Consider the following 16,607-nt stretch of genomic DNA (forward strand, 5'->3'; position numbering starts at 1 on the left):
CCAACTTATTTTATTCAATTTAGTTGATTCCAGATACATCTTTTTTCAGTAGACATATAGATAATTAAAATATATAGAGTTGTGGTTTTAAATAGATAAGCAATACAAATTATTGCCTGAATTCAATTCAGTTATAAATGAAAACCTCTATTCATGGAATTGAAGTGCATTTTGTTATTCATAAACTAAATATATTAGTGTGGTATGAACACAGGAGATGTATCAAGAATGAAAACAAAATAAGATTAAGACATGTTTGTGGAAAAGTGAATCTTAGAATACTAGAAAATATTAATATTATGGACTTATATACAATTGTCATTTTCTTCATTTAATTATAAAAAATATAAGGCTGGTGATAAAGTTTATATATTTATAAGAAAGAAGTTATATATTTATAAGAAAGAAGGAAGAAAGAAAGAAAAAGAGAGAGGGAGGAAGAAAGAAAGAAAGAATTTACTATTAAATATCCCACTGTTATGTTTATAAATTCTTGCACAGCCAAAAGCTGGTACATTTGCTGATCATCCATGACAAAATGTTGGAAGAAAAAGACATGAAACATGAGTTACAAATGTCAATATTTGGGGATGAGAGTTATCAACTGTCTTCATAAGAAATCTGTGGAATCCTAACATTCCTAACCTTAAGATATAAAACAAAAGTTAAATAAATTTTTTTCATTTAATTTTTGTGTACCAGTCACCTATGTTAATTTAAAAAAATCACTGCTATAAAATGCACATTCTGCAACACTTCGAATGGTATACTTCTCAACATACTCTAGATAAAAACATTGAAATAATAATACAAGACCTTAACAAAAATCTCCTTTTTATTTTATTTTTATTTGTTTATTTTTTGCTGGGAAATGGTAGAGGCTAGAGACATATATAAATATTCCTTAAATTAAATAAATGCAGTTTATAAAACAACAAGTTATATTTCTGGTCAACTGTAGGACTGTGCCTATTCTTTAAAATAAGTACTAATTAATCTTTCTCTTTGTTTTTCAACTTCTTCGCTTATTACAGATTGTATTTATTTTCCCCAATTATTTGCTTCTTCCTTTTGGGAAGCATGATTATACACATTGATCTATTGTCATATGAGGAGTTGGACAACTCCTTCTTTCTTTCTTTCTTTCTTTCTCTTTCTTTTTCTTTCCTTTCTTCACTTCTTTTTGTCTTTCCTTTCTTTTTTTTCCCATTCTTTGTTTTCCTCTCATATAAACCCAGAAACAATAACTCTATACTGCTGTTAGTACCACCTTATTAACCTAATATATCAAAGGGGTAGACATTGTATCTATATAGAAATTTCTATATAGATACAATGTCTATATGATGCTTCTGTGATCAATTATTAAATTAATGTCAGAGATCACACAGTTAGAAATTAATTTTTAATAGGAAGGCTTATGTTTTATAAAAAAAGATCTACAATTATTCTTCTTAGAAAACATTGGCTTTTAAACAATTTTTGTTAAGTTCAGCAGAAAATTTAAAAATAAAATACTAATTTGTAAGCAACCAAATTTTAATCTTCAAAATAATGTTTTTGAACTTGCTCACAATTTTATGGGAAGAATTACATATATGTGTATGTAACAATATATATGTATGTAATATATATGTAATTCTATATATATATATATATGAGAGAAAAAGAGAAAGGAGAAAAAGAAGAAAAAAGAAAGTAAAGAAAGAAAGAAGTGTATAAATTTTAAAAAATCACACACTAGGTATTTTAAATCACCTTCTTTAAGAATATATATTAGTGATTCAACAACGTGGTGGCCCATGAAAATGCTCCACTCATATCTCTTGCTGTGAGGCCACACTTCTGGAACTGTCACCATATTTGCATTAAGAACATGATTTCCAGACCGAGCCTGTAGTCTTGGTACTAAGTGTGGTAGTCATTGTACAGTTGAGCCTGACATGGTACATGCACCCCTGACTCTAAAAAGCACAGCTTGGGACTTCCCATGGACTTCGATAAAACTTCCTCAGATCTAAATTACAGTCTAAGATACTTCCTTTCCAATTTTTTTCTTTCTATGCTTCATTTTGCACGTTTCTTCTCTTCATTAATCTCTGATGCCTCTCCTTGTGTACTTCTCCTTAATCTTTTGCAGGTATCTTCCTGTGATGATGAATTTTATATGTGAACGTAATTGGTCTAAGAGATGCCCAGATAGTGGTAAAACAGTATTCTGGGTATGTCTATGAGGGCATTGTTGGAAGAGATTAGCATTTGAATTGGTGGACTAAGTTAAGAAAATGACTCTCTCCAATGTGGGTAGTAATCATCCAATCCATTGAAAGACTAAGTAGAACTAACAGGCTGAGGAAGGACAAATAATTTGTTCTCTGTGCTTAAACTTGGACATCTATATTCCCCTCTACAGAGGCAACTTTGACGTTGCCTCTCTTGGTTCTTAGGCCTTCAGACTTGGACTGGGACTTTCTCCATTGGCTCCCCTGATTCTGAAGCTTTGGGGTTTCTACTGGAACCACAGCATCAGCCCTTCTGGGCTTCTGGCTTGACAATGGTAGATCGTAAGACTTCTCAGCCTCCATAATCATGTGAGCCAATCCCTCGTAATACATTTCTCTTTCTCTTTCTCTCTCTCTCTCTCTCTCTGTGTGTGTGTGTGTGTGTGTGTATCTGTTTCTCTGGAGAACCTTTACTAATACATTTCCTCAGTAAAATCCTTTCACACCAAATCCCCTTCAGAGGACCTCAGCTGGCTCAAGTACCAGTAGAGGCTCAAGAAAAAGACAATAGGACAGGACTTAGGGATTGGATTACTTATCACCTGGCAGGTATATGCTATCTTGTGTGGTAGGTGGGACATAGATTGTCCCCAGAGCAAGATGGGGGGGTCCAATTGCTTATGCTTTCACCTGTAGTGACCAGAGAAAATGCTCCAGTAAGGGTCTGCCATTGAGGTTGCAATGATTCAGGATTTTTAAAGATTTGGGAGATCAATGCCTTCAAGGAATGATGAGCTGAATTTTTTGTTAGATGTATTGATGCTCTGCAGAGAGATAATGAGAAAGTAGGGCCATTGTTATAACTTCTGAGAACCTCGGATATGGGAAGGGACATCTAGACTGGATATCTAGATAGATGCGATGAAAGCACCTGTCTCTGCTGAATATCTTGAACCTTAAGAGTTTGTGGGGATCATGATTTTCCACCCAACCCTAGTGAGAGCTAGGGCTTTGTCAGGCTCTTAGTGTAGAGGCCTCTCTCATCAGGGCAAATGTGATCACTTCCCTGCCTCAAGACCTTGATAACTAGCATTAGATTTCAACACAATCCAGGTGGGAATGTGCTAGGCCTGATTAGAAAGGAGAGAGACCACTCAGTAAAGAAACTATAATGATTAGCTAGCAGTCCCGGCAAGAGTAAGGAGAGAAGCCCAGGGATGGCATTTTAAGAGTACTTGATTTATATAGCTTAAAATGTAATATTTAATAAGTAAAAACGTGTCTCAGGACATGAGGATTTAATGTTCAGGAAGGGACTCCAGGGAATAGGACAAGCTCACTGCTCTAAAAGAGTGACGAAAATAAAGCTACATGCTGAGCAACACGCACGTGGCCGAATTGTCATGGCAGAATACAGAGGCTGAAGGAAGAGGAAATGCGGGTTGAAATAATTACATGAGTGTGGGAGAATTAGGAGAGTGTAGATAATGTTTCAAAGGAAAACTCAGAGTGTATACACTCTTCACCTAGGGTATCAAGGAGGACACCAGCATCACTAAAAGTTCAGTGGTGACTCTTCTATGTATGACTGGAGTCAACGGTAGGAAAGGCAGTAACAATGCTGAAATTATTAATATCTGTAGGGATTTTGGGCTCCAAAATAATAGAAGTGAGGGGGAAATTATCACACAGTAGAAGTCCTGAGGGCACAACTATGTAACAAATGCCAAGGTCAGAAAGATAGCTAAGGTGCATGACCCTGTCACAGATAGTGGTAGAAATGGTTAATTGAGTATGCTGTTCCTAGGGGCAAAAGATATAGGCAACAAAGTACCAATTACTATCTACGATAAGAAAATGGCAGAAATAGAGGAGCAGGAAGATGAAGGTGGTCACTTCAATAAAAATTCATGATTCCTTGCTCAGTTCCCAGAATTGTGTCAATTATCAGAAATAAAGCCTATTTACTGGTGACAGCCAGATAGCTAGGAAGAAGGGTTTTCACAAGACCACAATAAGTATATTTTCCTTCAGTTCTTCTCCTATGGGACCTATGGTCATTTATTCAGGCAACTGCAAATTGAACAAAGAGGCATAAGCAAACATTTTCATCATTTTTGGAAACAGATATTCCCAGAAGCCCAATGTGCTTTCATAGCTTATGGGGCCAGGTAATAAATGGAACCCTGGCTTAAGCCTTACTTACAATATGCACATTGGGCCTTTGGATCCCCAGAGGTCAATTCCCCAGTTCTCCAGTGTATAATTGGAATTTATATATTGTGAGTTGAAGTAACTCTTGGATAGAATCCTTGACCTGTAGGTTAAGAGCTATTATAGTGGGGAATGCCAAATGGAAACTTCTCAAAGTCTTCCCTTACCTAGCCAAGATAGAGTATCAAAATTTTATTTCATCTCAGAGGATATAGCAAAGATTAGTGGTGCCATTAAAGGCCTAAATAATTTGGAAATTTTTGTGCCTCTCATATTTTCATTTCATTGGTCAATCTGGCCCCTTTAAAACTGGCACGTTCCTGTAGCATGCATATAGAATGCCACAAGCTCAACTAAATTGTAATCTGATCAGAGTCTATGTTTCAGATGTGGTGTCATTTCCAGAATCATTAAGATGGCCTCATGCCTATGTTATTTAAACATTTCGTTGTACATCCTTGCACCTTTTAACTATAAATGGTCAGGTATAGCAATGCTGGCTTGAGAAAGGCATTTATTACTCTGACATCCGTACATTAGTAGGCAGGTATGAAAGTGGCTTATGTATATAAATAGGTTACTGTTATTTTCTTCTGAAGTTTAAGTTGTCTATCTTCAGTTTGCAGGGTTTTAAAAAAGCACAACTTAGTTTTTGGTGACTCCAAATTAGGAAAAATGAAAAGGAGAAGGAAAAAAATTGAAAGCATTATTTTAAGGCTTGTAGCCAAGAAAAATTAGAATTCAGTCCAAACTGTAGAAAATAATAAAAATTGTAAAAAAAACATTAGGAAAGACTAGAATCTAACAGCAGGTATACAATCATTTTGAAATTTTTTTTCTCTCTCCATTTTCCATTTTACTAAAGACAAATAATGGTAGAACTGGTTTGCTTATTATACTTGGCCTAAATATTTGTATACATTGCAGCAAGAATAATTATTTTTTTTACATAGGCTTTTAAATTGGCTCTGATGGAACTTTGTTCAATAAGAGAAATCTCAGATAAGACATTTTAAAGCCCAGCCCAGCCATGGATTGTGCCTTCAAATACCCATGAGTTGGGTGAAATTTCCTCTCCTCTTTAGGTTTCAAGACAAACCTGGGGCTTCTGCACCTGTTAGAAAGTGACATTATTTACTTGCCACAGGTCAGAAACCTTGTACAGGAACTGTGTACACAAAATATGAGGCCAGTTTATCCAAGGGCTTTATTGGCTCCATAAGTCAAGTTTGATTCCTTAAGGGAAAGCACAGCATTCCAGTAAAAGTCTTGGTAAAATAACCAGTTTCTCCAATTGTGACCTGTTACAAATGAAAACAGATCCTTATTGCACTTATGCAAATAACTGTATTGCCATAAGTTAAGAATACTAACAAGCAGTTTCCAATTCTGGAGAAATCAGGTAGAGAGAAACAAATGTGCTCCAAATTTTGTTCATAGAAATATACTAAATTGTTAAAAGCTGTCAATAGCTCAGAAGAAAAGTTTTAAGACTCTGAAAAACAAAGCAAAGGATCAGCAAACATATTAAGCAAAACGTCAAAAAGATTGGTTCAGTCCATGCAGTTAATTCCTGTTCTGCTTGATACTCATGAACATTTTCACTTTCTACAAGTCCTGAAAGTTTGTTCTCTATTTTGATGTCACAGTCTCCAAAGCTATCAGAAACCTGCATTCAGGAACACCTGTTGGAGATTCATAGCTGATTATAAAATCACTTTCTAAAGAGAACCAAAACAAGGCAACAATTGTCCATGGATGAAAAAACTTTAAGGCAGCTATAGTTAAAAGACACAATTGACAAGGAAAATTTGTTACTTCTGTGGCACACAATAATTTTAACATAACAATTATGATTACTACTGATAATGTACACTAAGTTATATCAGAATTACAGGTGTTTCCCATAATCTTGCTACACATATCAATAACATATTTATACAAATACAGCCCAGAGAAAACCAAACACCATTTCATATTTGACAATGCTTTCTGTATAACTTTTATACCAAGTAAGAAAAATTCTGTGATTTTTGGATTTCAGGGAACCTAGTGTCTTAAAAGATTAAGTTGGAAAAAGACACAATTCATAATTTGATTTTGGTAAGTTTGTCAAATATAAAAGTTTTAAAATGCTTGATATTACAAAATACGATTAAAGGTCATTGTAAAGTCATTTATTTATCCAAAACGATAATTCAAGGATTTCAAAAAAAGTGAAAACTTTCATTCTTTGAGAGAGGAGACTTAAATTTTCTAAACAAGAAGCCCTAATAAAAACAGCATGAGAGGGGAGGAGCCAAGATGGCCGAATAGGAACAGCTCCGGTCTACAGCTCCCAGCGTGAGCGACGCAGAAGACGGGTGATTTCTGCATTTCCATCTGAGGTACTGGGTTTCTCTCACTAGGGAGTGCCAGACAGTGGGCGCAGGTCAGTGGGTGCGCGCACCGTGCGCGAGCCGAAGCAGGGCGAGGCATTGCCTCACCTGGGAAGCGCGAGGGGTCAGGGAGTTCCCTTTCCGAGTCAAAGAAAGGGGTGACCGACGCACCTGGAAAATCGGGTCACTCCCACCCAAATATTGCGCTTTTCAGACCGGCTTAAAAAGTGGCGAACCATGAGATTATATCCCACACCTGTCTCGGAGGGTCCTACGCCCACGGAATCTCGCTGATTGCTAGCACAGCAGTCTGAGATCAAACTGCAAGGTGGCAGCGAGGCTGGGGGAGGGGCGTCCGCCATTGCCCAGGCTTGCTTAGGTAAACAAAGCAGCCAGGAAGCTTGAACTGGGTGGAGCCTACAACAGCTCAAGGAGGCCTGCCTGCCTCTGTAGGCTCCACCTCTGGGGGCAGGGCACAGACAAACAAAAAGACAGCAGTAACCTCTGCAGACTTAAGTGTCCCTGTCTGACAGCTTTGAAGAGAGCAGTGGTTCTCCCAGCACGCAGCTGGAGATCTGAGAACGGGCAGACTGCCTCCTCAAGTGGGTCCCTGACCCCTGACCCCCGAGCAGCCTAACTGGGAGGCACCCCCCAGCAGGGGCACACTGACACCTCACACTGCAGGGTATTCCAACAGACCTGCAGCTGAGGGTCCTGTCTGTTAGAAGGAAAACTAACAAACAGAAAGGACATCCACACCGAAAACCCATCTGTACATCACCATCATCAAAGACCAAAAGTAGATAAAACCACAAAGATGGGGAAAAAACAGAACAGAAAAACTGGAAACTCTAAAATGCAGAGCGCCTCTCCTCCTCCAAAGGAATGCAGTTCCTCACCAGCAACGGATCAAAGCTGGATGGAGAATGACTTTGACGAGCTGAGAGAAGAAGGCTTCAGACGATCAAATTACTCTGAGCTACGGGAGGACATTCAAACCAAAGGCAAAGAAGTTGAAAACTTTGAAAAAAATTTAGAAGAATGTATAACTAGAATAACCAATACAGAGAAGTGCTTAAAGGAGCTGATGGAGCTGAAAACCAAGGCTCGAGAACTACGTGAAGAATGCAGAAGCCTCAGGAGCCGATGCGATCAACTGGAAGAAAGGGTATCAGCAATGGAAGATGAAATGAATGCAATGAAGTGAGAAGGGAAGGTTAGAGAAAAAAGAATAAAAAGAAATGAGCAAAGCCTCCAAGAAATATGGGACTATGTGAAAAGAACAAATCTACGTCTGATTGGTGTACCTGAAAGTGATGGGGAGAATGGAACCAAGTTGGAAAACACTCTGCAGGATATTATCCAGGAGAACTTCCCCAATCTAGCAAGGCAGGCCAACGTTCAGATTCAGGAAATACAGAGAACGCCACAAAGATACTCCTCAAGAAGAGCAACTCCAAGACACATAATTGTCAGATTCACCAAAGTTGAAATGAAGGAAAAAATGTTAAGGGCAGCCAGAGAGAAAGGTCGGGTTACCCTCAAAGGGAAGCCCATCAGACTAACAGCGGATCTCTCGGCAGAAACCCTACAAGCCAGAAGAGAGTGGGGGCCAATATTCAACATTCTTAAAGAAAAGAATTTTCAACCCAGAATTTCATATCCAGCCAAACTAAGCTTCATAAGTGAAGGAGAAATAAAATACTTCACAGACAAGCAAATGCTGAGAGATTTTGTCACCACTAGGCCTGCCCTAAAAGAGCTCCTGAAGGAAGTGCTAAACATGGAAAGGAACAACCGGTACCAGCCACTGCAAAATCATGCCAAAATGTAAAGACCATCGAGACTAGGAAGAAACTGCATCAACTAACGAGCAAAATCACCAGCTAACATCATAATGACAGGATCAAATTCACACATAACAATATTAACTTTAAATGTAAATGGACTAAATGCTCCAATTAAAAGACACAGACTGGCAAATTGGATAAAGAGTCAAGACCCATCAGTGTGCTGTATCCAGGAAACCCATCTCACGTGCAGAGACACACATAGGCTCAAAATAAAAGGATGGAGGAAGATCTACCAAGCAAATGGAAAACAAAAAAAGGAAGGGGTTGCAATCCTAGTCTCTGATAAAACAGACTTTAAACCAACAAAGATCAAAAGAGACAAAGAAGGCCATTACATAATGGTAAAGGGATCAATTCAACAAGAAGAGCTAACTATCCTAAATATATATGCACCCAATACAGGAGCACCCAGATTCATAAAGCAAGTCCTGAGTGACCTACAAAGAGACTTAGACTCCCACACATTAATAATGGGAGACTTTAACACCCCACTGTCAACATTAGACAGATCAACGAGACAGAAAGTCAACAAGGATACCCAGGAATTGAACTCAGCTCTGCACCAAGTGGACCTAATAGACATCTACAGAACTCTCCACCCCAAATCAACAGAATATACATTTTTTTCAGCACCACACCATACCTATTCCAAAATTGACCGCATAGTTGGAAGTAAAGCTCTCCTCAGCAAATGTAAAAGAACAGAAATTATAACAAACTATCTCTCAGACCACAATGCAATCAAACTAGAACTCAGGATTAAGAATCTCACTCAAAGCCGCTCAACTACATGGAAACTGAACAACCTGCTCCTGAATGACTACTGGGTACATAACGAAATGAAGGCAGAAATAAAGATGTTCTTTGAAACCAACGAGAACAAAGACACAACATACCAGAATCTCTGGGACGCATTCAAAGCAGTGTGTAGAGGGAAATTTATAGCACTAAATGCCCACAAGAGAAAGCAGGAAAGATCCAAAATTGACACCCTAACATCACAATTAAAAGAACTAGAAAAGCAAGAGCAAACACATTCAAAAGCTAGCAGAAGGCAAGAAATAACTAAAATCAGAGCAGAACTGAAGGAAATAGAGACACAAAAAACCCTTCAAAAAATCAATGAATCCAGGAGCTGGTTTTTTGAAAGGATCAACAAAATTGATAGACCACTAGCAAGACTAATAAAGAAAAAAAGAGAGAAGAATCAAATAGACACAATAAAAAATGATAAAGGGGATATCACCACTGATCCCACAGAAATACAAACTACCATCAGAGAATACTACAAACACCTCTACGCAAATAAACTAGAAAATCTAGAAGAAATGGATAAATTCCTCAACACATACACTCTCCCAAGACTAAACCAGGAAGAAGTTGAATCTCTGAATAGACCAATAACAGGAGCTGAAATTGTGGCAATAATTGATAGTTTACCAACCAAAAAGAGTCCAGGACCAGATGGATTCACAGCTGAATTCTACCAGAGGTACAAGGAGGAACTGGTACCATTCCTTCTGAAACTATTCCAATCAATAGAAAAAGAGGGAATCCTCCCTAACTCATTTTATGAGGCCAGCATCATTCTGATACCAAAGCCGGGCAGAGACACAACCAAAAAAGAGAATTTTAGACCAATATCCTTGATGAACATTGATGCAAAAATCCTCAATAAAATACTGGCAAAACGAATCCAGCAGCACATCAAAAAGCTTATCCACCTTGATCAAGTGGGCTTCATCCCTGGGATGCAAGGCTGGTTCAATATACACAAATCAATAAATGTAATCCAGCATATAAACAGAGCCAAAGACAAAAACCACATGATTATCTCAATAGATGCAGAAAAAGCCTTTGACAAAATTCAACAAACCTTCATGCTAAAAACTCTCAATGAATTAGGTATTGATGGGACGTATTTCAAAATAATAAGAGCTATCTATGACAAACCCACAGCCAATATCATACTAAATGGGCAAAAACTGGAAGCATTCCCTTTGAAAACTGGCACAAGACAGGGATGCCCTCTCTCACCACTCCTATTCAACATAGTGTTGGAAGTTCTGGCCAGGACAATTAGGCAGGAGAAGGAAATAAAGGGTATTCAATTAGGAAAAGAGGAAGTCAAATTGTCCCTGTTTGCAGACGACATGATTGTATATCTAGAAAACCCCATTGTTTCAGCCCAAAATCTCCTTAAGCTGATAAGCAACTTCAGCAAAGTCTCAGGATACAAAATCAATGTACAAAAATCACAAGCATTCTTATACACCAACAACAGACAAACAGAGAGCCAAATCATGAGTGAACTCCCATTCACAATTGCTTCAAAGAGAATAAAATACCTAGGAATCCAACTTACAAGGGATGTGAAGGACCTCTTCAAGGAGAACTACAAACCACTGCTCAAGGAAATAAAAGAGGATACAAACAAATGGAAGAACATTCCATGCTCATGGGTAGGAAGAATCAATATCGTGAAAATGGCCATACTGCCCAAGGTAATTTACAGATTCAATGCCATCCCCATAAAGCTACCAATGACTTTCCTCACAGAATTGGAAAAAACTACTTTAAAGTTCATATGGAACCAAAAAAGAGCCTGCATCGCCAAGTCAATCCTAAGCCAAAAGAACAAAGCTGGAGGCATCACGCTACCTGACTTCAAACTATACTACAAGGCTACAGTAACCAAAACAGCATGGTACTGGTACCAAAACAGAGATATAGATCAATGGAACAGAACAGAGCCCTCAGAAATAACGCCGCATATCTACAACTATCTGATCTTTGACAAACCTGACAAAAACAAGCAATGGGGAAAGGATTCCCTATTTAATAAATGGTGCTGGGAAAACTGGCTAGCCATATGGAGAGAGCTGAAACTGGATCCCTTCCTTACACCTTATACAAAAATCAATTCAAGATGGATTAAAGATTTAAACGTTAGACCTAAAACCATAAAAACCCTAGAAGAAAACCTAGGCATTACCATTCAGGACATAGGCATGGGCAAGGACTTCATGTCCAAAACACCAAAAGCAATGGCAACAAAAGCCAAAATTGACAAATGGGATCTCATTAAACTAAAGAGCTTCTGCACAGCAAAAGAAACTACCATCAGAGTGAACAGGCAACCTACAAAATGGGAGAAAATTTTCGCAACCTACTCATCTGACAAAGGGCTAATATCCAGAATCTACAATGAACTCAAACAAATTTACAAGAAAAAAACAAACAACCCCATCAAAAAGTGGGTGAAGGACATGAACAGACACTTCTCAAAAGAAGACATTTATGCAGCCAAGAAACACATGAAAAAATGCTCATCATCACTGGCCATCAGAGAAATGAAAATCAAAACCACAATGAGATACCATCTCACACCAGTTAGAATGGCAATCATTAAAAAGTCAGGAAACAACAGGTGCTGGAGAGGATGTGGAGAAATAGGAACACTTTTACACTGTTGGTGGGACTGTAAACTAGTTCAACCATTGTGGAAGTCAGTGTGGCGATTCCTCAGGGATCTAGAACTAGAAATACCATTTGACCCAGCCATCCCATTACTGGGTATATACCCAAATGACTATAAATCATGCTGCTATAAAGACACATGCACATGTATGTTTATTGCAGCATTATTCACAATAGCAAAGACTTGGAACCAACCCAAATGTCCAACAATGATAGACTGGATTAAGAAAATGTGGCACAGATACACCATGGAATACTATGCAGCCATAAAAAATGATGAGTTCGTGTCCTTTGTAGGGACATGGATGAAATTGGAAATCATCATTCTCAGTAAACTATCACAAGAACAAAAAACCAAACACCACATATTCTCACTCATAGGTGGGAATTGAACAATGAGATCACATGGACACAGGAAGGGGAATATCACACTCTGGGGACTGTGGTGGGGTGGGGGGAGGGGGGAGGGATAGCATTGGGAGATATACCTAATGCTAGATGACGAGTTAGTGGGTGCAGCGCACCAGCATGGCACATGTATACATATGTAACTAACCTGCACAATGTGCACATGTACCCTAAAACTTAAAGTATAATAAAAAAAAACAAAAACAAAAAACAAAAACAAAAACAAAAACAAAAACAGCATGAAGCCAATTACATTTGTTTTTCAAACTTTTATAAACAATCTATTAATCTTGATTACAAAATATAACTTCCATAAGCCTTTTATAACCTTTATAACCTTTATTAAGGAGTTGGTTAATGCTTCATGAAAACCTTGTTAGTATGATACACGGGTCCATATACTGGTTTTGCATCAGTGTGCCTTTGACATTAATAATTAATTTATGGAGGAATTGAACTTATTTTATCTTTTAAAATCCACCCTTAAAATCTTACATGCCTACCTCTTCCACGTAGTCCCTGGGCCTTGAGGAGGTGGATAGCTTTAATTTCTTGCCCTGTGTCTCAAGAATGCAGTTTATTTTGATTGGCATCTTCTAGGGGGCCTGAAGATGAGAATTTAATTGCTATCAGTGTTTAAGATTTAGCAGAACTTGGTGTCCTTTTTAGACCCAAGAATCAAAAGCCCTGGAACTCAATGTTACAAAGACTCTAAAAACGTATACAGGAAGATGCATAAATGTAATAACCTTAACTTTAAAAAAAATCTCAGTTTTTTTTCCTAAGCAAAACAAAACTTAATAATAATAGGACAATTATAAAAGTTTTTTTCACATATGTATAAATCCTCTTATTGTGACTTACACTGACTGTTCATGACACGGTGGGGCTTTCTGATTTGTTCTGAATATCCATCCTTTTTAAACAACCATTATTTTATTTTAGGACTAAATTTACCATACAAGATTCTTTCTTATACAAAATTATTTTTTCTTTAAGCTTTTATACCTCAAAAAAATACCTCTTTATTTTTATAACTTTCTTCGCATTTTTTTTCCTGGTTCCTTTTACCTTGTTTTATACATAACCCTTAAATGAGCTTTTAATCAGACAAAATTTGTTCACCTTTTTTTTTTTTTTTTTGGAAAAAAAAACATACATTTTCATTTTCTTTTATTTAGCAAGAATGTTTTCCTACAATATATATTTATTAGAAAACACCCAAACACCCAAATAATGGAATATTATTATTTAATTTAATGTAACTTTATATTCTAAATTATAACCAGTTTGTCTACAAGTATTTATCCCATTATATTTGCCTAATTATTTTATTTTAATTATTTACCTAGATTATTTATGAAAACTGTGATAGTTATAATTTGAAGTTCTGAAATCACCATTGCAAAATTATAACAAAGACAATGAAAAAAAGATTTGACATAACTGGCTCCATCGTGCTCATAACCTCCAAGCCATCCTTGTTCACGCCTGGGCATAGACGGAACTAACTTTGGGAGGAACTTAGTTTATTATTTAGCTTTGAACAAAAGGTGACAACATTCCTTTCCCAAAACAAATTTCATTATTGTCTGTGGACTAGACTGCCTAAAGCAGTCTATTAGACGTTATGGATTAGAAGTTATGGTAATCTTACTAAATTCAAGATGCAGCTATTTTCATTAAAGCCATATCAATGTTTTATTTATTAAAAATGACATAAGCAAAGATCATTTTGATTTGGGCTGGGTTCATAGTTTTCTAACCCCTGTGCCAAATTTTGAGACTTTATAGTATTTGGCAGGGATGAGTATGAAATTGCTTGATTAATAAATGCAAACAGAAATGTATGCTGGAAATTCTTAAAACATTTGTAATATTACTTTAGCAATAATTTTAAAGCTAGCTTACTTATTAAAGATTTTACTTAAGTTACATAAACTTGACGATGCCTTTGACTAGTCTTTTTTAGTATCTAATTTACTGATTTTATTTTTCTTTAAGCCAATTAATTAGAACTCTTTTACATATTTTTAGTAGTGAAACATTCTGTACACAACACATAAATACATACACAAATTTATTAGGCCTGCCAATGGAAGTACATTTTATAGATTCATAAAGAACCCCTCCCACTTTTTTTCTTCTATCTTAGACTTTCAGATACTTGATAGCCTGTTTTACAACTCTAGGCAGTTGTCAGCTAAATAGCCTTAAATTTGCATATTAAAAGAAACACTCCGATGAAAATCAAATAGCAAAATTTACGTCATAAAGGTATAGAGAGAAAAAGTTTGGTGGTGCTAGAGGGAGACATTTTTACAGTGCACTGACTTTTTTTTTTCTTAAGGACATAGATTCTGAGTGTATAAACTATATTCTTCCTTAAAAATCCAAGAATAGGCCAGGTGCAGTGGCTCACACCTGTAATCCCAGCACTTTGGGAGGCTGAGGCAGACAGATCACAAGGTCAGGAGATCGAGACCATCCTGGCTAACACGGTGAAACCCCATCTCTACTAAATATACTAAAAATTACCCGGGTATGGTGGCGGGCGCCTGTAGTCCCAGCTACTAGGGAGACTGAGGCAGGAGAATGGCGTGAACCCGGGAGGCGGAGCTTGCAGTGAGCTGAGATCGCGCCACTACACTCCAGCCTGGGCGACAGAGCAAGACTCCGTCTCAAAAAAAAAAAAAAAAAAAAAAAGCCAAGAATAGCCTCCATTGCAATACTATTTTAGTCAAAAATCAGGTGGAAACAGAATTCAGTCAACTGAGAGAGAAAAAAAAACCTTGGCTCAAAAAACAAGGTCTTAGGAGAGAAAAACAAACAAAAAACAAAAACATGAAGGCTTTTAAAATACAAAGATGCACACATGCACACACACATCTTGGATGTTAGCCTTTTCATTAAGCTGACTTTTAACTATTGAGCTCCTTTAACAAAAAAAAATTAGTTTTTTAAACTTGCTATCATATTTCAGCTAGGACGAAATGCTGCTAAACTAACAATAATCACACAAATTATACGATTTTTGTACACTCTAAGTGTAAGCAGAAATTACACCAGCTGGTTGTTCATGCTAACTTGAGTCGTTTAGAAATAATTTGCAAGACAGAATCCCAAACTAGTTTCTTGCCTAGTAATGGGTCTCAGGCTGTATACTGCTCTCTACCATCCTATAAGCAGGAAAAAACAAACAAAACAGAAAACTCATCTTCCCTGTTGGAAGCGAGCTCAAACTCCATCGAGTTACCTGCCGGGCCGGGAGCGGTGGCTCATGCCTGTAATCCCAGCACTTTGGGATGCTGAGGCGGGCGGATTACGAGGTCAGTAGGTCGAGACCATCCTGGCTAACACGGTGAAATCCCGTCTCTACTAAAAATACAAAAAATTAGCTGGGCGCGGTGGCGGGCGCCTGTAGTCCCAGCTACTCTGGAGGCTGAGGCAGGAAAATGGCGTGAACGGGGGGCGGAGCTTGCAGTGAGCCCAGATGGCGACAGAGCGAGACTCCGTCTCAAAAAAAAAAAAAAAAGTTACCTGCCTTCCATCATCATGGAAGCAGGAAAACTTGCCTTCCCGTCAGAAGCAAGTAAAGCTCCAAAACAAAAACAAAAACAAAAACAAAAACAAAAAAAAGTTCTATAGCAAAATAAACTTTAGATCTCGACCAAATTTTGGGAGATCAGGCATTCTCTGGAGGGGATGCCCTCATTCCTCAGCAAATTGTCCTATTTGTTTGAGCCATGAAGTTAGCTCATGCTGGTACCAAGCACTGAAAAGAGATTTGTCAAAGGTCAGAGGCATCTCCGCTCAGAATCCCCCCCGTGGTTACCAAAACGTGAACCCCCAAAATTTGAGACAGGTCTCAGTTAATTTAGAAAGTTTATTTTGCCAAGGTTGAGGACACACCCTTGACACAGCCTCAGAAAGTCCTGACCACATGCTTGGTTTTACACATTTTAGGGAGGTATGAAACATCAATCAATATGTAAGGAGTACATTACCTCTGTCCAGAAAGGCAGAGACAGCTCAAAGCAAGGTCCCGACAC

At 37.7% G+C, this 16,607-nt stretch overlaps 1 long non-coding RNA gene across 2 annotated transcripts in view; it reads right to left on the reverse strand.

Annotated features, from left to right (window-relative positions):
* Positions 1 to 16,024, reverse strand: part of LOC105374678 (uncharacterized) — a 108,785-nt gene extending 92,761 nt beyond the window's left edge. Inside the window, exons 1-2 of one of the 2 annotated variants that reach the window (XR_001742406.2) lie at positions 15,812 to 15,934; positions 13,059 to 13,160 (exon numbers count right to left, since the gene is read on the reverse strand). This is a non-coding gene — a long non-coding RNA (uncharacterized LOC105374678). Of the gene's footprint in view, positions 1 to 13,058; positions 13,161 to 15,811 lie in introns of both variants that reach the window. The other variant, XR_925839.3, reaches the window with a different exon arrangement.
* Between the last annotated feature and the right edge of the window lie 583 nt (positions 16,025 to 16,607).

This window comes from Homo sapiens, chromosome 5 (assembly GCF_000001405.40).
Source record: "Homo sapiens chromosome 5, GRCh38.p14 Primary Assembly".
NCBI lineage: Eukaryota > Metazoa > Chordata > Mammalia > Primates > Hominidae > Homo > Homo sapiens.